Source organism: Homo sapiens, chromosome 1, assembly GCF_000001405.40.
Source record: "Homo sapiens chromosome 1, GRCh38.p14 Primary Assembly".
Classification (NCBI taxonomy): Eukaryota; Metazoa; Chordata; class Mammalia; order Primates; family Hominidae; genus Homo; species Homo sapiens.
The window spans coordinates 245,949,716-245,976,613 of NC_000001.11; the positions used below are offsets into that span (position 1 = coordinate 245,949,716).

A 26,898-nucleotide genomic window follows, 5' to 3' on the forward strand; every position below is an offset into this window, starting at 1 on the left:
GAAGAATCTCTTGAACCTGGGAGGCACAGGTTGCAGTGAGCCAAGATTGTACCACTGGACTCCAGCCTGGGCAACAGAGTGAGACCCTGTCTCCAAAAAAAAGAAACCCACCCCCCCCACCCCCACCCAACCAACCAAGAAACAACAAATTAAAAAACACAGTGCCCAACCCAAACACCACTATAGACCTATCTTCAGGAAAAATCCTCCCCTGTGAATGCAAATTTAAAAAACTGGAAGGAGCACAAGTCACTGTCTGTGGAAGAGAAAGCGAAAAATAAATAAAACAATTTAAAAATGGATAATAAATAAATGGAAGAAGCAATTGTTAGACCAGGAGTGCAGACATCAATTTAAGGACACAAGAAACATGACAAAAGCAAGGACATATGACTAAGAAATACATTAATTCTCCAGCAACAGGTTCCAAAGAAAAAGAAATTTAAAACATTTTTATTAAGTAGTAAAAGAAGCCTGACCTAATACTGTTAGGTGAGGTTAGCCAGAATCCCCCTTACCTGGATATTTCCTCTTGGTAATTTTCCATCTACCGACCCCCACACTGCCCCTTGGCTACCAATTCCCACGTGCCCACAATGTATTTGGAGCTGAGCCTAATCTTTCTCCCCCAGTGCAAGACCTGGTTGCAGTGGTCCCTGTACCTATCGCCATGGTCCTGTGCTTTAACAAACAGGACTGAGTATTTTTTTCTGTAACAGCAGGATCTGAGTACAGGTTGTTGGTGTCACCACAGCCACACTAGGCCCTGAACGTCTGACCACCCCCTGTTCTTGGAGCCTCAGTCACTACACAGATTGGCTCGCTCTGGCCTTCTTGACTCTTAACATTGCCCAGAAGGATTCACCACCACTTTCAGCGTCATAGTTCTTTGCTTTCACCATTCCGAGTCGGTCGTCATAGAATATGCTATCATATGTCACTCAAAATCCAAAATATGCCTCCGATATAAAGTTACACTGCTTATGCCAAGTCAGTGGTCTTGCCAAATGTGGCCATACTCTGGAGGTGACTTTGTGCACATATGTTCCCAGTATTTTCTATCCATGCTCAGTTAAGCAGTGCCATTTCCCTTGGCACAGAGTTTAAATTAGTTATTTGCAAACGTAAATTCACATTTCTTTTTCACCTATCACACCGCTCTCTCTAAATAACAGAGTAAAAACACTTACGCAGATAATTTGGGTAGGGAAACTGGGGATGGATTTCACAGTCATTCATCATTAGCCTGACAAGTCTTTGAGTTAGGGATTGAACACTCCGGCATATTAGTTGGCTATTTGTTATTGAGAGCACCAGCTCTCAAGATCACAGGACATATAAGGTAAGTGATGAAGGATACACAATGGCATTTAGAGAAACTACACAAGAACTGAAGAAAAACAAGGAGGCACATTGTTTCTGCATCACTCTTATTACCTGCAAACCAGGGGATGGATAATTTAAAATACCAGCGGAGTCCACGGCAGCCGACAGCCTGTTACCTTCCTTGGTTACAGAAAGATGCGGGGGTGAATTACCCACTCCATGGCTGCTTTACCGCGATGCACAGTACACGTCAGATCTCTTGAAAATACTCGTCGTGGCTCACTTTGGGAGGCTGAGGCGGGTGGATCACGAGGTCAGGAGATCGAGACCATCCTGGCTAACACGGTGAAACCCCATCTCTACTAAAAATACAAAAAATTAGCTGGGCGAGGTGGTGCACGCCTGTAGTCCCAGCTACTCGGGAGGCTGAGGCAGGAGAATGGCGTGAACCCGGGAGGCAGAGCTTGCAGTGAGCCGAGATCGCGCCCCTGCACTCCAGCCTGGGTGACAGAGCGAGGCTCTCTCTCAAAAAAAAAAAAAAACAATTGCCATGATATAGTCAATTCCTACCTCCTACGAGTCTGACTGTGCTGCTTGTGATCTGACCAGGAGAACTCTCCACTTTTCCCCTGTGTTGTCCTTTTTCATAATCCCTGCTTAGTAATCACTTCCACCAAGAAGAAACGTCTCAACTTTCTCATGTGTGAGATTCAACCAGTCACCCTACTCTTCATTATTACAAACAAAAGGTCAAGTTCTCCTTTTCTTGAGTTATATACAGATTTAATTAGTTATTTCTAATAAAAAATAAAATTCCACATGATCCTTTCTTTCCCTCTAGCTTTATTTTGCACAAATGCTCTCATTTCCCCCCTACATCTAAATGCAAAACAGAATATATTCACTAAAGGAATCAGGGTTTGATGATTACAGCAAACAACTGCATTTGCATATGTGAGGTTTCCAACTTTGAATTCAAAGACAATAAATAGCAAAATGATTTAGATTAGAATTTGCCGTTTCTGGAAAAAAAATGTTATCAATGACAGGAAAAGAAATGTTGGTGTCAAAGAAAATAAAACAGAAATACCTGTAAATAAAGATGAGTATCTATCAATTATACCATGATAAAGCTGGGTGGGAGGGAGATTATTACTGTAAAACTTGTTTGAAGGGGAAAAAATTAACCAAAGCATTATCAATAAACGACTAAAAAGCTGAAACGTAAGGATCACTTTGGGAAATGAAGCAAAATCAAACACCAGGAAACAAGGCATGAAAAGAAAAGGATTAAGGGAACAGATGAGTTGATGACAAAAAAGTTACAAAGACCAGGAGGAAAAAGAAATATGAGAATTACCGATTGTAATAAAGAAAAAGAAAAAGACTGACAAGCATAGGAAAAAAAATGACGTTTTTATGGCTGCTTGATGATAGTTCAGTCCATTGTCAACCTAACTAGAATCAATCAGAAAGCCGATCCTCAGAAGCAAATGAGTGAAGAGGCCTCTGGGTAAAGGCTGAGAGTACTGGTTGATGGGCATCACTGTTACCACTGTTCTCACCTAACTTGAGAAGATTGTGATACTAGCTCCCCAAATGCTCCTGTTAATGGCATGTACCCTACTCTTAGCAGGTCTCACATTCTGTGCAAAAACACTGAAAGTCAACATAATATGTTTTGTAGTGTAATGGAGACAGATCAGGTTTTTACTAAGCTAAAAGGAGATACAGCCTTGGCTACGCACTCGAGCAGAACGCTGTGAAAACGCATACTAAAATGATGAGCCTGAACTCCCCACATACCCTCAAGTGCATACAGGGTTGTGTCTCTGCAAAAGCCTCTACCCATTGAGGTTTCCTTGTGCAGGGGATAGTCTGTATCTAGATGCTATATCAAGGTGAAGATCAAGTATCTTTAGTTTTCATAAAATACTAGATTCCAAACAGAAAGGTAATTATCAGACAGAGTAGGTGGCAATTAGAGGCTGAGCAGGAGGCTCTAAGAATCTAAAAGGAATTTGGTCGGCATGTGATCATGAAATCCCCAAAACATTCCAGAAAGTGATAAAAATAAACACCTTTGGGTAAAGTGTTATTTCCCCAAAGAGGAATTGAAGCTAGTTAGATCTCTTTGGTCATAATATATATTATCAGTATATCTGGAGAAAGAAACAAAGCAAGATTACCTTTTCTTCTTCTTCTTCCATAGTTTAAATTTGCTACATTGGGAAACTTCACTGCACATTAATATATCAACTCCAACTAGACCAAAATCTTTCAATTAACTAAAAACATTTTTTAGGATGTAACTCTGAAAAAAATAAAAAGTGAGAAAAAGCAAACATAAAGTAAACTGGCTTAAAAGTAGGGTTCAGTTTGTTTTGTTTTGTTTTTGAGACAGAGTCTCGCTCTGTCACCCAGGCTGGAGTGCAGTGGTGTGATCTCGGCTCACTGCAAGCTCCGCCTCCTGGGTTCAAGCAATTCTCTGCCTCAGCATCCTGAGTAGCTGGGATTATAGGCGCCTGACACCACGTCTGGCTAATTTTTTGTATTTTTAGTACAGACAGGGTTTCACCATCTTGGCCAGGCTGATCTTGAACTCCTGACCTCATGATACACCAGCCTTGTCCTCCCAAAGTGCCGGGATCACAGGCATGAGCCACCGTGCCTGGCCAAGTAGGGTTCAGTTTTTAAAAATAAACAGCAGCAACAACAAAAACCCCACATGTACTTTCAAAAGTATGTTCTGTGATTACTCTTGTGCCTGGTTCTTCAAACAAACACAGGACTTTTCACAAATGAAGCCTGCATGTTCAATGCTGAATAAGATTAAAACGTGTTTAGCTCATTGTACCTACAGAAACACAACAGAACTTCAGCAAGATTTTCAACAATGATTATTTTAATTTTAAAAAGGATTTTGTGTAACTTTGTTTAAATCTGATAATCCTCTTTACTTCAAAAAATTAAAGAAGAAAGTGAAAGTAATACTTGGAAGCAAAATGAAACTAACACGAAGTGTATCAGGTACTTTTCCACATTAACTCACTGATGTAATTAAATTACAAATGCTCAGCGTCCTAAGGGGTCAACACTGTAATTAGGAAAAGTGTATTTCTCCTTAGTCCTTATACCATTTGCCCTGGTATAAATGCTTGTAGTAAACATTGTTACTCTTTCTCAGACAAGCGTTTTAAAGATGCTAGTTAAAATGTAGTTGGTAGCTAGTTTCCTGAGTCAATATGGCAATTATACCAATAAAATTGCAGATCAAGATGAGCCAGAGGCAGTAAGGAACAGGCCAAAGAAAAACAGGAAGAAAAGGGGACGATAAAGAAAGTGGTAGGCCAGGTGTGGTGGCTCACACACCTGTAATCTTAGCACTTTGGGAGACTGAGGCGGGCAGATTACTTGAGCCTAGATGTTTGAGACCAGCCTGGGCAACATGGTGAAACCCTGTCTCTACAGAAAATGCTAAAACATTAGCCGAGCATGCTGGCAGGCACCAGCAGTCACAGCTACTCAGGAAGCTGAGGTGGAAGGCTCGCTTGAGCCCCCAGGAAGCAGGGGTTGCAGTGAGCCAATATAGCACCACTGCAGCCACTGTCCAGCCTTGGTGACACAGCAAGACTGTCGCAAATTAAATTTTAAAACAGTGGTAGTTTATTCCAAATTCATGTGCTAATCAAATCATATCTCTGTGCCACTCTCACATTCAGCCCTTTCTTCCCGTTTCCACTGCAGGTATTTGTCTCCTGTATTCATTATCTCTTACTTGCAACTTTCCAAGTCAATCTCTCTGGTCCCTGTCTTTTTCCAAACCATTCTTTAAATTGTCATCAGATAAATCTTTTTTAAAAACAGATTTGATTTTACAAAAGAGAAACAGGAGATCTACCCAGTAGTTGCAGAATAAAGACAAAATTCTCTCGTGTGACATCAAACGCCCCCTATAATCTACTCCCATCCTGTGTTTCCCTGCACCCAACACGTATTTCAGTTATCCTGGCTTCTCTGTCATTCCCAAGTCAGGTTGTGGGCCCATGTGGTGTTTTGTTTTTGTTTTTGTTTGAGTCTCGCTCTGTCGCCCAGGCTGGACTGCAGTGGCGCGATCTCAGCTCACTGCAAGTTCCGCCTCCCGGGTTCACGCCATTCTCCTGCCTCAGCCTCCTGAGTAGCTGGGACTACAGGTGCCCGCCGCCATACCTGGCTAATTTTTTTTTGTATTTTTTAGTAGAGACGGGGTTTCACCGCATTAGCCAGGATGGTCTCGATCTCCTGCCTTGGCGTCCCAGAGTGCTGGGATTACCGGCATGAGCCACCGCGCCTGGCCGCCCATGTGGTTTTATGTCTTTTCTTTTTTTTTGGCATATGATTGCCAGGTCATAGCTTTTATATCTTTATTCATAGTTTCCTCTTTTAAAAATATCTTTTTCACTACTGCGATCGCTCATAATTTTATTCATCCTTTAGGATCCGGCTTAAATGTCACCTCCTTCAAGAAACTTTCCTACATCCAAATAGATTTACCTGATACCTGAGTATAGATAGTACAGTATATTGTTATAATTGTTCTATTTTAGTATTATTGTTGTTAATCTACTGTGCCTAAGTTATAAATTAAACTTTATTGTAAGTATGTATACATAAGAAAAAACAGTATACATGAGGTTCAGTACTATCCATGGTGTCAGGCACCCTCTGGGGTACTGGAATGTATCCCCCATGGATAAGGAGGCACTAAGCAACATATTGTATGTTTAGCTTTGCATACTTTTGGCTACTTACAGATGGAATCATACTGCATTGATGATTTTGCAATTTGTTTTGGGTTTTTTTTTTTTTTGGCTCAACATTATATCCTAAGATTCATTTATGTTGATGCATGTTGCTATAGTTTATAGCTGACAGACCTCTTGATGTGTCTTCTAGGAGGCGCTTATGAAGAGAATTTCCATAGGAACACTGTTTGTAAATGCAAAAAATTACAAATGACCCTATGTTCATTACTAGGTTATACAAATAGATAACATTATTTTCTATTTTTTCATTTTTCAGAGATGGGGTCTCATTTTGTTGCCCAGGCTGGTCTCAAACTCCTGGGATCAAGCAATCCTCCTGCCTGGGCCTCCCAAAGTGTTGGGATTATAGGCGTGAGCCACAGTATTCAGCCTCTTGGTATTTTCTATACTAGCACCTACTAATGTATATGGCACATAGTATACTCTCTACAATAAATGCTTTTTAAGATAAACGAATTTGAGAAGAAAAGTTATGTCTGATTCATTGTGGCTTCCTCATCCATAGAGGCCAGCACATGCTCAGATGCTCAGTCAAGATCTGATATTCAGCCACAAAAGGCTAGCAGTGGACAGGCAGGAAATAATCTGAGCTGACACAAGTGAGGGAGCAAAACAGGACGTGTGACGTGTTGGGTGCCTACCCCTAGCGAGGCAGGCAGAGCATTATTTTTTATGAGGTTAATTCCACCTGCTTACTTTTGAGTCCTACAAACCACTGTAGTTCACAAGAATTCCTTTCTTCTCTTGTGACTCTCTGTCTCCCCAGCCTCAGCTAATTCCCTCTCCCTGTCTTTGTCTCCCTCCTTCTACTTCTCCTCCTCCTCCTGTACTACTCCCCTACTCCCCTGGGTATGAGCCTGCTTCGGTACTCTGGGAAGGGTTTAGTGATGGTGGTAAAAACTGACTTCTTGATTTCCTTCCTTGCCTGCCAGCGAAGTCATCTTCCAGCAACTTCTTCCATTCTGTTGGAGCAATGATTTGTCTCTCACTATGCCATCCTTTGGTTTGAACATTGCATACCCATCTTAAGGCAGTTGATCCACCCTGCTTATTGCCTTTTTGGCATATTGGATGCCAGCTCTTGAGCAGAACCAAACCCCTGGAAAACTGATCACCATCTCAACATCTTATTAAACTAATTCTCATTTTGCTAAACTAGAAACGAATCATCAGGCTAACACTGCCAGTGAAGATGCAATGTAAGACAAATTATACCAAACCACCAATAGGCATGTATTCATCTGCAGCACCAGCCAACTACTCTCAAAAGAACTGATACAGAAAATGATGAAAAGGAATTAAATCCAAAAGTAAAGAGACGACTGCCAACTACAGATAAGATTTTCCATGAAATTGAGTATTATTCGGTTCATCTCACTCTGACTTCATTTTATTACAGTTTAGACCTGACTAGCTAAAAAAAGAAAGACCATCGCTTTGACACACAATAGAAGTAAAAATAAAGCTGACATGTCACCCTTTCCTTCATTCCTGTTTTCAATATTCAATCTTCCCCCTTTCCCTTTCCCATCACCTACTACACTCACTTCCACTGTAACATTTCTTTCTCCTCTCTTAGAAAAGATCCTTAGAGGAAATTAAAATGTGGCCAGTCCTTACTCTTTAACGTCAACGTTTCTCTCAGCATGCACTTCTCTAACTTGAGCTATCATTTCACTAAAATAACTCAACTCTTTCTTTTCTGAATCTTCCCTAGCGTTGCTGTATTTCTTACACCCGCTTGGATTCATGCCCACTCGCTGCTCAGGATATATTGTGTCTATACTTGAGTAGGCACAAAATGCTTTTTCAAACAAAACGTATCTGTCATATCAGTACTGTTTCCTCCATATACGTCAACCAAATTAAATAGCTTCCCTGACCTTTTGTCTACTTTCTTTGCCTTCTGAGTATCCTCATCATCTAACTCTTGGCCTGGTAAAACAGGATATGTGGAAAAGTCATAACTTACCTTCCTCATTATTTTCTCTATCAAGCCATAAAAAGTAATAAGGGAAACCTTTACTTTGGGCTTACCTTCACTCCAAAATGTAGAATTGTGTGGTTAGGTTTAAAAAATGACAGAATTCTTGCAAGAAAATGTTAATCTAATGTTAGAACTCCTAGCAGACAAGGTAGGGACGCTGAATGTAATTATTCAGAGACTTTGAGAAAAAAAAAGCGGGGGGGAGAAACAAGCGGGTTTTCTATCTGCAATGAGCCCAGCACTTTATGAGGTGCCTGTCTAGATTCTTTTTTTACCACGAAAGTTGGGAGAAGCTACTATCACCCTCATTTCACAAACGAGGCTTCTAAGGCTCAAAGAGGCTTAAGTGGTGCCAGATATTGAATCCAGGTTTTTCTGATCCTCATGTTCCAAAGCAGGACAAGTTAAATCTGAAAGCATCTTAAGAGGAATGAGCTATAAAATAACATTCTGACAATACAATCATACACGATGCAGACTGCTTATCCATGAAGGCCCTTCACAATCTGGCCTCTGCATCCTTTCCTCACCCTTCCTCTCATCACCGGCCACAAATCTCCCTTTTTCCAGCCCTACAGAACACCATACACCATTTTCTAAAGTGCTGTGCTGATGAATGTACTTTCCACAGGCTCTTTCATTCGTGTGACTGCCCTTTCTCTTGCTTCATCTATCTCCTACTCCAAAACTTAGCTCAAGGGTTGCCTCCTTCAGGAAGCTTTTCCTCATTCTCCAGTCTGATTTAGGTTCTCCTCCTCCGTAGCAAAGTACATACCCCTAACAATACCACTTACCCCACTGAACCATCATTGCTGATTTACTTGTCTGTTTCTTTTACTACTAGGGTTATTCCTAGAAAGAAGAAGCTACATTTTATCCTACTTTGTATCTCTTTCATATAGTACAGTGACTGACACATCATAGGTGCTCCAGACCCCAAATAGAAGAACTGGGACAGAAATCAAAGGGTAGTATATCTGGGATCACCACCCTGGGGGAGTGGGCTATCTCATGAACCAGTATTTAAGCAGAGGCTAGATAATAACTTTCAGGAGCATTAAGAACTCTTTTTTGTTGTTGTTTGGTTTTTTTGAAACAGAGTTTCATTCCGTCTCCCAGGCTGGAGTTTGGTGGCATGATCTCAGCTCACTTCAACCTCCGCCTCCCAGGTTCAAGCGATTTTCACGTCTCAGCCTCCCAAGTAGTTGGGATTATAGGCGTGTGCCACCATGTCCAGCTAATTTTTTGGGTTTTGTTTTTGTTTTTTTAAGGAGAGATGGAGTTTCTCAAAAAACAAACAAACAAACAAACAAAAAACAAACAAACAAACTCTGGCCAGGTTGGTCTCAAACTCCTGGCCTTAAGTGATTGACCTGCCTCAGCCTCCCAAAGGGCTGGGATTACAGGCATGAGCCACCATGCCCGGCCAAGAGCTCTTTACACTAAGTGAGGAGCAGTGTTAGGCAAGCCAAGACATCCATGCTTGCTCTGTTATTCTACGGCTCCCGACAGCTCCAGATCAAAGTTTTCTGATGAAGATGGGCCAACATCTCAGAAGACAGGATGGCACAACAGTAACACAACTATCATAGTTAGAAAACCTGGGTTCTGGCTCTGACTTGGTTGTGTGATTTTTGGTAGACAGTCCCAAAAGTCTTGGGTGATTTCATCTCAGTTTCCCTATTTATAAAACAAAGGGTGAAAGGTAAGCTAGGGGGAGCTGACCAACTAGATGGTCTGTTAAACGCCTTCCAGTGCTAAGAGAATTGCCTTATTTTCCCATTGCTCACTGTGTTCTCTTGTGACCACCTGAAGGTCTCTGCCAGCTCATCTTATACCAGTGCTGTCTTCCCTGTTTGATGGCTCATTTCTCTAAATAAAGCATAACATTCACAGAACAAAATGAGTAAAATCTCTGTTTTTTTAGTTCACTGGACAACATCACTTTTCTTTTTTCATTTTTGAGACAGGGTCTTGCTCTGTTGCCCAGGCTGTAGTATGGTAGTGCCGTCACAGCTCACTGTGGCCTGGACCTCCCAGGCTCAAGTGATTTTCCTACCTCAGCCTCCTGAGTAGCTGAGACTGCAGGTGTGTGCCACCATGCCCGGCTAACTTTTTCCATTTTCTGTAGAGACAAGGTTTCATCATGTTGCCCAAGCTGCTCTCAAACTCGTGACTCAAATGATCCACCAGCCTCAGCCTCCCAAAGTGCTGGGATTACAGGTGTGAGCCACATGTGCTCGGCCACATATCTTTTTATTTTAAAATATTAATAAAACAAAATTATGCAGGTAAACTCTGAGTCCAAAGGGAAATTGGCATTGACTTACAAAATTTAATCAGATACTTAGAATTCACTGAGTTAACACGTGCATACTTGACCTTGCTTGATGCAAAGATCTGTGATATGTAATCATTTGCTACTTCACTGAAGATGTTTGAATCCTCCTTGTTGTAAGGTTGACTCCACAGGAAAAGACTGATTCACATGGCTTTGTTATCATTGGCTTTCTGTTATGAAAGCAGACAATTTAGGTCAAGGGACAACAATCTATTTTTCTGCCTGAAAATGACCCCGACATGAAAACCAACTGATAGATTGGTTCATTTCTATTACCAGCACTAAAGAATGGGCATAGGGCTGGGCACAGTGGCTCACACCTGTAATCCCAGCACTTAGAAGGCCGAGGCCAGCCTGGGTAACATGGGAAAACCCCCATCTCTACGAAAAAAAGACACAAAAATTAGTCAGGTGTGGTAGTGTGTGCCTATAGTCCCAGCTACTGAGGAGGCTGAGGTGGGAGGATCACTTGAGCCTGGGAGGTGGAGGTTGCAGTGAGCTGAGACCATGCCACTGCACTCCAGCCTGGGTGACAGAAACCAGACTCTGTCTCTAAATAAATAAATAAATAAATAAATGGCATAAATTAGCCTTATAAATTACTTTAATCCTGAATTTATAGAATCGTTACACATCTAGAGGAATTACTTAACTTTTTCAGATATACTTTGCATTTTTCACAGAGAGAAAAATAATTACATAGGCATTTTCACATTTGGAAGTTCATAACTCCCTCGGGACCTATTCCACAGGAAGGCCGAAGGCCAAAGGTCTCTTGTATATTATCTAGCTCCTTAAAATGGCAACATTTAAAAAAAAATCTAACCTCCTTCTCCCCCAAATCAATTCAGTTTGTTGAAATTCTTCCATATGCCTTAAAACTACCAAGGGAAGGCAGAGTCAGACAAGGTTTAAATGTTTGTAGGCATCTGAGAAAGAATTGAAAACAATCAGAGTAGAGATGGTGGTCTACTCTGCATTCTCCCTTGGGCGCTACCACAAAGGCACTTCTCTGTACCCATCAGCAGAGCCGCACATGCTCTCTCTTCTCATAGAAACAGGGTCAACCCTCATTTCTAGGAACATAATTTTCAACCACAAAGTTCCCTTCCATTTTTTACTTTCCTGACATCAGTCTGCTAAGTGAAGATATCTCGGTAAGAACTCCAATTTTAAGGGGAATGAATCTTTACAGAATGTACTTTATCTTGTCAGCACTTTGAATCTAAATTTCCTTCTCACCCTTTCACCCTAAAATATCAGCTTGCATCAGGCACAAAGGAAGATGCACAGCTGCAAGTGCTCAAGATGACTAAGGAAGGAAAAGCAGACAAGTCACTAATTACTCTCCAAACTGGAGGCCTAAATCATCCTTCTCTTCTACCTGTTGTTTCTGGAATAGTTTATGTCAGTAATGGAAAATTTAAACACTGTCATATAATTCCATTTTTTTTCCCCACTCCAGCTCTTAAAAACATCCTAGATGTTAAGATGTGTAGCCTAGGACAGTGGTTTTCACACAGTGCTCTAAGGAACCTTTAGAGCCAGACACACAGAGGAGGTATCAATAGGAGGGGTCTGATGCCCCTTCGACACATGTTACTATAATTAACATGTATTTTGAGACTGAGAATGTAGGCTCCATGAAAGCCGGGATTCCTGTTTCCTCACAGCCATCACCTCGTCCTTTTAACAGGGCCCAGAATACAGTAAGCTGCCGGATAAAAGTTTTTTGACTGAATAAACTGCACGGTTATTACAGCTGGGAACTGATTTCGCTGATTTCCACGGTAACCCTGTGAGGCACGTATAGTAGTTATCCTCACTTTGCAGATGGGCAAACTGAGGCTCAGAGCAGCCTGGCTTCCAAGACCCTCCTTCTAAACATCATACCACATGACACAGCCTCCCACGTGAGCCAGCAGCTGTATTTCATCTGTTTTACATGTGAGGTTTCCCACCATTTGACTGGAGAAAGGTCGATGTTAGGGGAGAAAAAACCATTTAAAAACCACCAACTTCATGGTGAAATCCAAAGGCTGCAAGTAATCAATCTCACTCCTTGCTCTGTTTTTCCTGCCACCCTTGGGACTTGACGCAAGTGGCTTAACTGCTCATTGTTTCAGGTTCCTCATCTTATTTTACAACCTATCTTGCAAGATGAGTATACATGAAATATTAGAGGATCCTGATGTTGTCAGAAGTGTAGTTTTGCGGATGTTGATCCCAGAATTGTGAAACAAGGACACGGTTGAGATGATCGCTAAACTCTGCCTGAAGTTCAACGCCTCTGTCATTGAAGACCTTGCACAGTGCCGTCCACATGGTTATTTTATTCCTCCATGTCCTTACCAACTAAACAAGCCATATGATTTTAGGTTTCGTGGCCAGACAGCCTGGCTAAGCTCCTATCAACATGTCAGCCAGATGAGGTGAAGAGATGGAGAAACAAACCTGCATGTGGGTTGCGTCGAACAATAAAGAGAAAACAGAGACCAAAAATCTTGTGCCAAGGTTTGACCTCAACAACCGCAAAACCAATCATTGCTGTGTTGTTTCACTATGTTTCTAGAAACATCCATAGAGGAGAAACCAAAGTCGGCCTGAATACATGTTAATAGCTTTCACGGGCTTACTTCTGATATTTTAAACAGGCAACAAAAAAGAAAAACCAAGTTTCAGATCTTGCCAGAAATTGGGGTTTCACTTAACTGTAAAACAGTCAAGGGGAGTTTATCAGGTAAGACACGAAGCCTTTCTTTATAAGCTCTTATAAGACTAGAGACCACTGGATTGCCGTGCAGTTACTGCCGCTGGCATTATTTTCTTAGCACACTAAGAAAAATAAAAATGTTCAAAGTCCTGTTTTTAAAAACAGGATGAGACTTCTGGCTTCTGATCTGGTATGTAAGAAGCTTAGAAGTCACCATTCCATCCTAACAACAAGTAAAAAGCTAAACAAACTAAAAAATCAACCATTCTTCTTACACATTTGAGATGCTAGATATATTAGCTTAATTTAATTATTCCACATTGTATTAAAAACTCACAATACCACTTTGCATCTTATAAATATACACAACTATAATTTCTCAATATACAGTGTTAAAAAAAAATTCTTAGATCTGCCAAAGAAATAAGGTCACAGGGCAAGCTGCTGCCCCCAAGACTAGAGAGACAGAGGGGCGCATACAGAGCATTGCAACTTACTACAACAGAAACCTCCATGGAAATCAGTACCCGGTAGAAACCTCAATTGTACTCGACATACTGCTGGGGGTCTAGAATGAACAACTCTTCGAGTTTAAAACTCCAGAGGTGCCCATCATGGGGAGTAGGGAGGGATAAGCTTTTGTGAGTTTTTTTTTTTCCAGGAGCTCTAGCAGGGCCTCGCAGTGAGTATCAGAGAAAAATTCCCTTATGCTTCCAGTGGAAAAAGGAGGAAAAGGACCATTTTGAAAAAACACCAGAGATCAGCACCATAGGAAAAGGAAAAAAGAAAAAGAAAAAAACACCAGAGAATTATGTTCTTAACAAGGTTTTGCCCTCCAGAGAAACTAACCAGACCCTAACTTGCTGGGGCTTTGGCAGAGCCTAACCTACCTGGGGAAGGAAAATACCCAACTCCAGTCCACTCTAGTCATCCTGTCCCACAAGAAAACAAACAAACAAACTGAGAAGCACTGAGTGAAGCTCACAGTCCAGGGTCATGGGCTCACTAGAAGACTGAGACCCACTCACAGGACTACAGGAGAACAATTCCATTCTGAGTTAGTCCACTTTGCATTTGCTATAAAGACGTAACCAATGCTGGCTAATTTTCAAAGAAAAGAGATTTATTTGGCTCACGGCTCTGCAGGCCATACATGAAGCAGAGTGTAGGCGTCTGCTTCTGATGAGGGCCTCAGGAAGTTCACCATCATGGCAGAAGGCAAAGAGGGGCCAGCATGTCACATGGTGATGGAGGGAGCAAGAAAAGGGAAGGAGAGCCAGACTCTTAACAACCAGCTCTTGTGTGAACTAACAGAGCAAGAACCTGCTCATCACCAAGGGGAAGGCACCACGCCATGCATGAGGGGTCCACCCCCATGATCCAAAACCTCCCACCAGGCCCCACCTCCAACACTGGGGGTCATATTTCAACATAAGCTTCGGAGGGGACAAAACATCCAAACAGTATCACTCCCCAGTGATTTACCACCACATCACTAAAGACCCATTCACAATTCTTTTTACCCAGTACATCATGACATCCGTCTTTCAGCAAAAACTTACCAGACATACTAAAAGGCAAAAAACACAGTGTGAAAAGATTGAACAAGCATCAGAATCATAGTCAGATACAGCAGAAATATTGGAATCATTCGACAAGAAAATTTTTGAAAATGATGAATAAGCTAAAGGCTTTAATGAAAAAAGGACATGAAAGAACAGATAAGTATAAGCAGATGAAAATTCTAAGAAAGCAAAAGTAATGCTAGAGATCAAAATCATTTTAACAGACTTGAATAATCCTTTTGACCAACTTATTAGGAGACTGAACACAACTGAGGAAAAATCTCAGCTTGAGGATACGACAACAGAAACTTCTGAAATGAAAAAGCAAAGAGAACAAAGATTGTAAAAAAAAAAAAAGAATATCCAAGAACTGTAGGACAACTATGAAAGATGTAACATACATATAATGGGAATATTAGAAAGAGAATAAAGAGGGAAAGGAACAGAAGAAATAATATTCAAAACAATAATGACTGAGAAATTCCCCAAATTAATGTCAAACACCAAACCACAGATCCATGAAGCTTAGAGAACACTAAGCAGGATGCCAGGAAAACTACCTCTGGGCATATCATATTTACAACTAAGAAAATCAAAGATAAAGAAAAAAAATATTTAAAAAAATACCCCAGAGGGAAGAAGAACATACTTCAGTGGAGGTAAAAGAAAAACTTTTGTTTTCTTATTCTTAATTGATCAACACACAATATCTTTTTCAAAATAATAGCAACAATGTACTCAATTACGTATGCATATATATGCTTATGTATAAGTGAAATGAATGACAGTGATGATTCCAAAGATGGGAGGGAAGAATTGGGAATATTTTGTTATTATAAGATATTTGCACTACTGATAAAGCAGTTTCATGTTATTCGAAAATGGACTTGGATTAGTAGTAAGTGTATATTGCAAACTCTACGGCAACCATTTTAAAAAGTAAAAAGAAGTATAATTAATATGCTAATAAAGGAGAGAAAACAGTATCATATAAAATCCAGCTTTATTCATAATTTCCAAAACTTGGAAGCAACCAAGATGTCCTTCAGTAGGTGAACAGGTAAACTGTGGTACATCTAGACAACAGATTATTCATCACTAAACAGAGATTAGTCATCAAGCCATCAAAGGACATGGTAGAACCTTAAATGCATATTACTAAGTGTAAGAAGCCAATCTGAAACACTTTATACGGTATGATTTCAACTGTATGACATTATGGAAAAGGCGAAAGTATGAAGATAGTAAAAAGATCAATGGTGGCCAGAGATGAGAGGGGAGGGAGAGATGAACAGGTGGAACATGAAAGATTTTGGGGGCAGTGAAAAAAGTCTGTATGACGCTCTAACAGTGAAGACATGCCATTCTACATTTGTGCAAACTCACAGGATGCACAACACCAAGGGTGAGCCCTAATGTCAACTCGGGAGTCTGGGAGATAATGTGTCAATGTAGGTTCATCGACTTTAGCAAATGTACCAATCTGGTTTGGGATGTTTATGATGATGGGAGATAGGGGTGGGGCAGGGAATGGCCAAGGGTTATATGGGAAACCTCTATGCTCAATTCTGCTGTGAACATAAAACGGTTCTCAAATAAAAAGTTTATTAATTTTTTAAAGGATTTTTACACAACTAAGCCTTGATAAACATTTACCTTCTTTCTTCTTCATCATAATTATTTTTCCGCATTATTTTGCTATTTTCCTTCTCTCCTTCTCTCTCTCTCTTTCTTTTAGAGACAGGGTCTCACTCTGTTGCCCAGCCTGAAGTACAGTGGTGCCATCACAGCCAACTGTAACCTCGAATTCCTAGGCTCAAGCAATTCTCCTACCTCAGCCTCCCCACTAGAACTACAGACGCCTGCCACTATGCCTGGCTAATGTTTCAGTTTCTTCGTAGAGATGAGGTCTCATTATGTTTCCCAGGCTGGTCTTGAACTCCTGGCCTCAAGAACTCCTCCCACCTTGGCCTCACAAAGGGCCGGGATTACAGGCGCACATCACGATGCCAGACCCAATTTTGCTATTTTCTAGCATAACATGGTATGCACACATTAAATTAAATGTGAAAAACAAAGGCAAAAAGAAAAATAAATCAACAAAAGTTCTCCAATCATGACTAAAATCATGGACTATTTCCTTCTAATCTTTTCTACAGGCTGATTTTTAAAAACATTACTTAATTCATGGAGAATATCAACCAGAGTGCTCAAGATCTGGCCCTTGGGAAGACAGGCTTTCAGATCATCTCGAGTCCTTATTTCCTTTCTACCCCCAACCTCTGCTGTGCCTGGTGCTCAGGGCCCCTCTCCAGAAACCGTCACTCTGAAGATGAGCAGGCACATTCAAGGCTGTAGGGAGTACAGGGGAGGATCTGATGCAGTCTTTCAAATACTCCTTTTCTTTTAAGGTCCCCATATGAACCTATCCCCCCTCAGGACCTCACTTCATTAATTTCTGAGCCTTTCTGAGCAGGAAATATGCTTGCTTCTCATCGATATCCACCACTGTAGGCACTCAGATCCCACCTAGCTCCCCACTGTTAATTCAGTCATCAGAACTCCAACTGCTTTTTGTCTTCATTATTGATCAATGTGTTATAATGACTTTTGATTCCATCAAAAGTAGAATTTGTTTTTCCATTCCTCATTCTCCTTGCCATTCTATGGTGATGGATGATTTCTGAGAGAAGAAAGAGGTAGAAATCTCTCTATTCCATCACAATTCTTATTCTTACATGGTATTGTAATACCATATTATCTTTATTAATCTGGCTTTATAATATATTTCACTGTCTGGCAGGAACATGGTCATTTCAAATTTGACTGAATGTTTCAAAAAAGTATTTTCTATTTGTCTTTAAAGTTATGGGCAACTTACCAGATAAGTTGAAAAGAAGTTCAATATCCTAAATTCAAAATCCTAAATTTTCACATGTAGACCTTCCTATCAACTCAGACAATGCCAGGCACAAACCTATGATCAGTAACTGCTGAGTGATTGTGAACAAGCCATCCAAGAAAAGTCAAATGCATAGGGGCATTTGTGGAAGTGTGGAGTTGTCTCTGAAAAGCTGTTGCACTGTGAACTTGTTTCAGCCTGAGAGGCAAGAAAGGCTGGCCTGTGATTACTTCCGGTGTCTACCTAGTGTGAAATGTGTTGAGTCAATGAAGCATCTGGAACAGACTTAGTTCAACTGGAAGGTTCATGACTGGGATGCTTCCTGGAGCCCTCAGACCAGAGGGCAGACATAACCCAAGAATTGCTTCTTATTAAAGGAACAGAGACAAAAACCTAAACAGAGGGATAACGGCAGAGCATTAAATGCAGATAATTCCATTTGCGACTAATTTACCCAAATAAAATAGCAGAAAGCAGCTTTCAGTGGAATAATTTAAGGCAACAGGCAGGAGAGTGGCGTGAACTATTATTTTCATATTTCCATTGCTTACTTGTCACTTCCAGTGAATATTTAACTTTTGAGCATCCACTTTGTGGCTTAAGGATGTTCCTAACTTCCCCAAACTTTGCATCCTTGACCAGTACACTACAATATTTATTCACAACCCTGGGAAATACCTATGGGAAAGTTACTGTTCCCTGAACGAAATACATGAAAATCCAGATTTCTCTACTCGCTGACAGTTTATATAGATAATGCTACTTCCCCCTCAATTTATCTCTACTCTGTTTCAATCTACACACTGCTGTCAGAACAGCGTTAGACCACAGATCTGAGCACTTTAATCCCCCCCTCAAAAATGGCCCCCCTCTGCTCACCAGCTCCATGCTGAGGCTCTCACGTCCTTCTCATGATATAACCCCCATCTACTGAGACACTCAGTTCTCCTCAAATGAATCTATTCTCCATTCCCTGACTAAGCTGCAGCGTTCTCACCTCAGTGCCTTTGCCTAGGCTGTGTCTTCCATCTGAAATGCCCTTTACCAGACTACTGGAATGACAACTCTCCTTCAAGGCCCAAGTGCCTCCTATATTAAAACAATAATGGTTAGAACTTTCCATTTCAACAAAATGATGCAGAATTCACCTTATATTGAAAAAGGCAGGTAGTGAAGGAAATTCAGTGTACGAGTAACAATGCACCTCATGTAAACCACTGTGAGGTAAAGAAAAGGCAAGGACTTTAAAGCCAGATATTCATGGATTTAGCTCCCTGGTCTGGCATCTTTGAATCTTGTGACTCGGGGCAAGTTACTCAAGTCTTCTGGAACTGAGTTTTCTCCTCTATACAATGGACACAATGGTACCTGTGTTGCAAGTGTGGACTGTAGACACAAACCACGCGTTTCCCATATTCCATTTAATAATTCTGTGCTGCCCTCGTCTTTCCCGCGTTGTAAATTTCAGCCTTCTCAGGTCTGTGTCTTTCTCCTGTGCCGTTCATCAGTGGAGGCTTAGTTCCCAGTGCTGGTGGAAGATGCCTCCGTACACTGTTAAGGAGGCAATGCTTTCTCTTCCTATCATTGATAATATTCTGCATCATAGGGCTATGAGACCTCCAGGCTTCAGAGATTACCACTGTGTCCTGTGGAGGCAACCTCTAAAAAGTATGTAATTCTGATTTTCTTAGTTAATAATGTGTCACTCTGGTAACACTATTTAAATGGGTCTCTATTTTCTCAAAACGTAAGTACTTCTGAGTTCTCTTTGTTAAGCCAGAAGGGGAGGCAAAAGAAAATAACTTTGCTAGCTTTCTTATTTAAATTGAGAGCCTGGGATCAATGAAAATCAACACGGGTTTGCTGTGAGAATGAACCACAATAATTAATGACTCTTCAGTGGCTAGAACATAAAAGATAGCTAGTGTTAGTGAGACCATCAGCAACAATACAACTGCACAACTTCTACTAACAATAATGACATGGACACTGTTCTGCCAGACCTTCCAGTCCACAGGCCTTTGAGGCCTTAGCCAAGACTTTTCTCTACTGGAGGGGTAAAAACCACTAAGCAAAGCCTCGCTTGTCTGAGTCAGCTGAGTCTCATAGCCAGGGTATTTGTCTGACCCTGTTTTCAGTGCTGAATTTGCCATCCTGTTGTAAATCAGTCAGCACAAACTCAGAAACATACCCGTTCATTTACTTAACAGCACACAATCCTTCAAAGGGCAAAGTGGTTTGAGGAAATCCAAACTAACCAAGGGGGGAAAGGCCAGGAACACGGATTCCTCTGCTGAAGATAAATGGTAGCTATCAAATCTGCACACAAATCCCTGAATAAATACCAACAGCATTCCTTCGTGTTGTTTTGAAATTCAAACTACATTAGGAAAAGAGAAAGGTGCCTTACTTTTTGACATACCACTAAGTCTTCACTCCATCAGAATGCTATTAGCATTAGTGGCAGATTTTATTACCTCTCTAAGTGTGTATAAAAACCAAGTGTCTCTAAAAAGTATTATTTTTGTTGACATTTATCATAAAGACTATTAAAACAACATATAAAAATGTCAATGTTGACTTTCTTCAGAGAAATAGAAAGAACTACTTAAATTTCATATGGAGCCCAAAAAGAGCCCATATAGCTAAGACAATCCTAAGCAAAAAGAACAAAGCTGGAGGCATCATGCTACCTGACTTCAAACTGTACTACAAGGCTACAGCAGCCAAAACAGCATGGTACTGGTACCAAAACAGACGTATAGACGAATGGAACAGAACAGAGGCCTCAGGAATAATACCACACATCTACAACCATCTGATCTTTGACAAACCTGACAAAAACAAGCAATGGGGAAAGAATTCCCTATTTAATAAATGGTGTTGGAAAACTGGCTAGCCACATGTAGAAAGGGGAAACTGGATCCCTTCCTTACACCTTATACAAAAATTAATTCAAGATGGATTAAAGACTTCAATGTTAGGCCTAAAACCATAAAAACCCTAGAAGAAAACCTAGGCAATACCATTCAGGACATAGGCATGGGCAAGGACTTCATGTCTAAAACACCAAAAGCAATGGCAACAAAAGCCAAAATTGACAAATGGGATCTAATTAAACTAAAGAGCTTCTGCACAGCAAAAGAAAAGTATCAGAGGAAACAGGCAACCTACAGAATGGGAGAAAAATTTTGCCATCTATCCATATGACAAAGGGCTAATATCCAGAATCTACAAGGAACTTAAATTTACAAGAAAAAAAACAACCCCATCAGAAAGTGAGTGAAGGATATGAACAGACACTTCTCAAAAGAAGACACTTATGTGGCCAAAAATTATGAAAAAAGCTCATCATCACTGGTCAGAGAAAAGCAAATCAAAACCACAGTGAGATACCATCTCACACCAGTTAGAATGGTGATCATTAAAAAGTAGGGAAACAACAGGTGCTGGAGAGGATGTGGAAAAATAGGAACACTTTTACACTACTGGTGGGAGTGTAAATTAGTTCAACCATTGTGGAAGACAGTGTGGTGATTCCTCAAGGATCTAGAACTAGAATTACCATTTGACCCAGTGATCCCATTACTGGGTATATACCCAAAGGCTTATAAATCATTCTACTATAAAGACACATGCACACATATGTTTATTGCGGCACTATTCACAATAGCAAAGACTTGCAACCAATCTAAATGTCCATTAGTGATAGACTAGATACAGAAAATGTGGCACATATACACCACAGAATACTATGCAGCCATAAAAAAGGATAAGTTCGTGTCCTTTGCAGGGACATGGATGAAGCTGGAAACCATCATTCTCAGTAAACTAACATAGGAAAAGAAAACCAAACACCACATGTTCTCACTCTTAAGTGGGAGTTGCACAATGAGAACACGTGGACACAGGGAGTGGAACATCACACACCAAGGCCTGTCTGGAGGTGGGGCTAGGGGAGAGATAGCATTAGAAGAAATACCTAATGTAGATGACGGGTTGATGGGTGCAGCAAACCACCATGGCACGTGTATACCTATGTAACAAAGCTGCACTGTTCTGCACACATATCCCAGAACTTAAAGTATAATTAAAAAAAAAAATCAATGTGTCATTTGAGTAGCTCATTGCACCCAAACTGGCTATTGCACAATTTCAGTTTATACAATCTATTAAGAGAACGCACACGCTCTCGTCTGGTTAGAACGCATTCTTCTTCCTGAGGGAAAACCTGAGCTTAGGTTGTTCTCTCTGAAACATCCCCACTAACGGGGATGTCCCTTGAAGGCCGCAGGGACTCTACCTTTTATCTCTAAATCTCTGGAGCCTACCTTGGTGCCTGGTACATAGCAGTCACTCAATTCATGGTTGGTGGGTTTATTTTTTTAAAAATAGCAGCTGTCATTTAACCAGATGCTGCTTTGTGGGAGGCCCTTTGCTTACATGATCACTAACACTTAAAACAACTCTGTGAAGGAGGCTAACAAATCCTGCCTTACAGTTGAGGAATCTCAGATTTAGGAAGATTAAGAAACTTGTCCACAGCTACATACCTGGTCAGTGAGTAAAAGATTCAAACTCCAAAGCCCAGCTTTGCAGAGTCTGAAGCAAACACTACGCTGTACAGAGTCTAGTCACCTATAGTCACTGCTGATCTTGCCATGTCTCGGGCACCACTGATGCCTCACTATAACTGAACCAAGTGGGAAGGGGGCACTGATCTGAATGTATTCTGACAACAGACCATGCCCTAGGATGTAAGTCCCTGGTACAAGACTGTTTTCATTATTCTTACTCCTGTCTCCTAAAAGCAGGCAAGAAAACCAGTTTTTGATAGATTAGAATTGCACTCTATTTTCATTCGGATACCAAGTCCTGAGACACCTTAGCTGGCTAGGTAAGTCTGGTGGTGGGAGACCTGCTCCTGAAGCCATAAGCAAGTTAACATATGTGAATTTCCTCTGTAAACTCCACATGGCTCTATGACAACAACACAGTGTTCAATGGTATCACGGTGGTGAAAAGAGCACAGATTTTTAAATCAGATATAACAGAATTAGAATCTGCACCTCCCCCTTACAACCTCATCATCTAGGGCAAGTTGAGTTAATTAACCTCTCAAATTTCTAATTCATCATCTGGAAAGTGTACAGAATAATCTGCACATTGCAGGATGTGGTGAATATTGCTAGGTGTTCACCAACATCTGTTCTCCCTTGCTCCCAGGGCACAGGCCTGAACTACGTTTCCCAGTTCCTCCCCCAACCCCTGGAATCAGGCACAGCTACGTGACTAAGTTCGCTCCAACTGAGTGGAAGTGAAAGAGTTGGGAACTGCTTCTGGAGCTAAGCCTTGAGACTGTGGGCTGGCCCTGCTGGGCTCCTTTTTCCACTTCTTGTGAAGGCCTGAGGGGCGGTGGAGCAACACCATGGAAAGAATCCGGGCCCTGAATAACAGCATGGAGTGGAGTCACCCACCCACCTGGTACATACATTACACAATCAGTGAAAAAGAAATAAATGTCTATCTCCTTTGAAGCTACTCAATTATCATTATGTCCCTTTGTTACGAGAACCTGGCCTTACCTTTGCCAACAGTGTTTTTCCCACCTATTATAATGCCTGGCACAAATTGGGTACTCAATAAATAAATGATGTCATTGCTGCTGCTGTTACCACTACTGCCACACCTACCATGCAAAGCAGTTCCCTTCTTACACACATTGAAGGTTCCACGGCCACAGACACAAACTGCTGCCCTTAGCTACAGAAAGGAAAGTTAATGAAATGAAGATGGCTCTGGAGGAAAACAAAATCAAAACTTTCAACTCTAGAAGAAATAGCTTAAAGCACATGCCCTATTGAAGGACAAACACTTAGCTAAAACAGCCATCATCATTGTTGCTTTTGTTAGGTATTATGTTTTTGAGGTTATAGCAGGAAAGCTTATAGACACAGCACAAGAAGGAAATTTAGGAAGGCATATAATCGGGGTGTCCATGTTATACACAGGGTGTTCACCCAATCTGCAAATGTTTATTAAACTATTCACCAAATATTTGTGAAACCAACGAGGTACCAGGTATTTGCTAAATGGAGGTACAGATAATAGCCTCACCCTCAACTTTCACAGGAGTTTTATCACAAAAAAAATCAAATGAAAATAAGTAGCTTATTGTGTACATGTGACAAGGGAAAAAGGAGAGGAACAAAACCTACCCATGTTGTGAGGCTGCACGAGAGAGCAAACATACCAAAGAATCTTGCTTTATTTTCTCAGCGAAAAGAGTTCTAGTGCACCCATCAGTTGCTCTTGTAACCAGACACTGTCCAAGGAGCATCAGACCATCCCAACTCAAGAACAAATGTCCCAGTTAGCCATGGCTAAAGAACACTTCCCTTAATAACGTCTTTTGATCGGCACGAGGAAATCTACCTATATGAGTACTTTTTTGGGGGGTTCAGTGAGTCACTCACAGACCTATTTCTCACCAAGTCATTCGGAAACGTAAATGTCCAGAAAAATAAATTTTAAATATGATAGGACTTCCTGGATGTTAAATTCAATTTCAGAGTATTTTCTCATATGAGAGTCATTTTGTAAAATAGACTTTTGCATTTTAACAAAATCATCATCATTAATACCTATGCTTATAGGTCTAAACAGTTTCAATCAAGTCACAAACTAAATCAGGCTGCCCTTCCTCCAGACCCTGACTTGCTAACAGATGCCACTATCTGTTCAGGCACCCTCCTTTCCTCTTCCCACCTCTCTCAAAGCCACTCCCACTGTGAGTATCCTCACTCTGACACTTGTGTACTGGAAGATGATTTTTCAATGAGAAAAAATCTCTCTTTAAATGACATTTTTCAAATTTAATATGACTAAGTTCTGCCCCCAAACCTACTCCTTAGATGGGAAGATTCATTCCCATCTGAGAGATGACAGTATTTATTTTTCTCTAATACATGAGCAGTATTATAAAACCTTCCCCCATTTCTCCCCAATCCATGTCATCCAGTCTATCAGAGTCATGACAATTCTGACCCCAGAATGTATCTTGAATCTATTTCATTTTTCCCATCTCCTACATCTCCTATGCCAACCTCCTAAAGCCATCGTCTCCGGCCCAGGGAAAGCCATCGTCTCCGGCCCAGGGAAAGCCATCGTCTCCGGCCCAGGGAAAGCCATCGTCTCCGGCCCAGGGAAAGCCATCGTCTCCGGCCCAGGGAAAGCCATCGTCTCCGGCCCAGGGAAAGCCATCGTCTCCGGCCCAGGGAAAGCCATCGTCTCCGGCCCAGGGAAAGCCATCGTCTCCGGCCCAGGGAAAGCCATCGTCTCCGGCCCAGGGAAAGCCATCGTCTCCGGCCCAGGGAAAGCCATCGTCTCCGGCCCAGGGAAAGCCATCGTCTCCGGCCCAGGGAAAGCCATCGTCTCCGGCCCAGGGAAAGCCATCGTCTCCGGCCCAGGGAAAGCCATCGTCTCCGGCCCAGGGAAAGCCATCGTCTCCGGCCCAGGGAAAGCCATCGTCTCCGGCCCAGGGAAAGCCATCGTCTCCGGCCCAGGGAAAGCCATCGTCTCCGGCCTAGGGAAAGCCATCGTCTCCGGCCCAGGGAAAGCCATCGTCTCTGGCCTAGGGAAAGCCATCGTCTCTAGCCTAGGGAAAGCCATCGTCTCCGGCCCAGGGAAAGCCATCGTCTCCGGCCCAGGGAAAGCCATCGTCTCCGGCCCAGGGAAAGCCATCGTCTCTAGCCTAGGGAAAGCCATCGTCTGTAGCCTAGGGAAAGCCATCGTCTCCGGCCCAGGGAAAGCCATCGTCTCCGGCCTAGGGAAAGCCATCGTCTCCGGCCCAGGGAAAGCCATCGTCTCCGGCCCAGGGAAAGCCATCGTCTCCGGCCCAGGGAAAGCCATCGTCTCCGGCCCAGGGAAAGCCATCGTCTCCGGCCCAGGGAAAGCCATCGTCTCCGGCCCAGGGAAAGCCATCGTCTCCGGCCCAGGGAAAGCCATCGTCTCCGGCCCAGGGAAAGCCATCGTCTCCGGCCTAGGGAAAGCCATCGTCTCCGGCCCAGGGAAAGCCATCGTCTCTGGCCTAGGGAAAGCCATCGTCTCTAGCCTAGGGAAAGCCATCGTCTCCGGCCCAGGGAAAGCCATCGTCTCCGGCCCAGGGAAAGCCATCGTCTCCGGCCCAGGGAAAGCCATCGTCTCTAGCCTAGGGAAAGCCATCGTCTGTAGCCTAGGGAAAGCCATCGTCTCCGGCCCAGGGAAAGCCATCGTCTCCGGCCTAGGGAAAGCCATCGTCTCCGGCCCAGGGAAAGCCATCGTCTCCGGCCCAGGGAAAGCCATCGTCTCCGGCCCAGGGAAAGCCATCGTCTCCGGCCCAGGGAAAGCCATCGTCTCCGGCCCAGGGAAAGCCATCGTCTCTAGCCTAGGGAAAGCCATCGTCTGTAGCCTAGGGAAAGCCATCGTCTCCGGCCCAGGGAAAGCCATCGTCTCCGGCCCAGGGAAAGCCATCGTCTCCGGCCCAGGGAAAGCCATCGTCTCCGGCCCAGGGAAAGCCATCATCTCTAGCCTAGGGAAAGCCATCGTCTGTAGCCTAGGGAAAGCCATCGTCTCCGGCCCAGGGAAAGCCATCGTCTCCGGCCTAGGGAAAGCCATCGTCTCTAGCCTAGGGAAAGCCATCGTCTCTAGCCTAGGGAAAGCCATCGTCTCTAGCCTAGGGAAAGCCATCGTCTCCGGCCCAGGGAAAGCCATCGTCTCTAGCCCAGGGAAAGCCATCGTCTCCGGCCCAGGGAAAGCCATCGTCTCCGGCCCAGGGAAAGCCATCGTCTCCGGCCCAGGGAAAGCCATCGTCTCCGGCCCAGGGAAAGCCATCGTCTCTAGCCCAGGGAAAGCCATCGTCTCCGGCCCAGGGAAAGCCATCGTCTCTAGCCCAGGGAAAGCCATCGTCTCTAGCCCAGGGAAAGCCATCGTCTCTAGCCCAGGGAAAGCCATCGTCTCTAGCCCAGGGAAAGCCATCGTCTCTAGCCCAGGGAAAGCCATCGTCTCTAGCCCAGGGAAAGCCATCGTCTCTAGCCTAGGGAAAGCCATCGTCTCCGGCCCAGGGAAAGCCATCGTCTCCGGCCCAGGGAAAGCCATCGTCTCCGGCCCAGGGAAAGCCATCGTCTCTAGCCCAGGGAAAGCCATCGTCTCTAGCCTAGGGAAAGCCATCGTCTCCGGCCCAGGGAAAGCCATCGTCTCCAGCCCAGGGAAAGCCATCGTC

The 26,898-nt window shown here is 42.7% G+C and overlaps 1 protein-coding gene across 19 annotated transcripts in view; it reads right to left on the minus strand.

Annotated features, from left to right (window-relative positions):
• The window catches only part of SMYD3 (SET and MYND domain containing 3), a 757,933-nt gene that overhangs the window by 200,369 nt on the left and 530,666 nt on the right, over window positions 1-26,898 (minus strand). The window contains exon 1 of one of the 19 annotated variants that reach the window (XM_011544257.2): window positions 3,516-3,769. The exons of the other annotated variants lie outside the window; for them this stretch is intronic. Coding sequence (XP_011542559.1) covers window positions 3,516-3,536 — 21 coding nt within the window. The 5' untranslated portion in view covers window positions 3,537-3,769. Of the gene's footprint in view, window positions 1-3,515; window positions 3,770-26,898 lie in introns of those variants that run through there. 19 annotated transcript variants of the gene reach the window in all.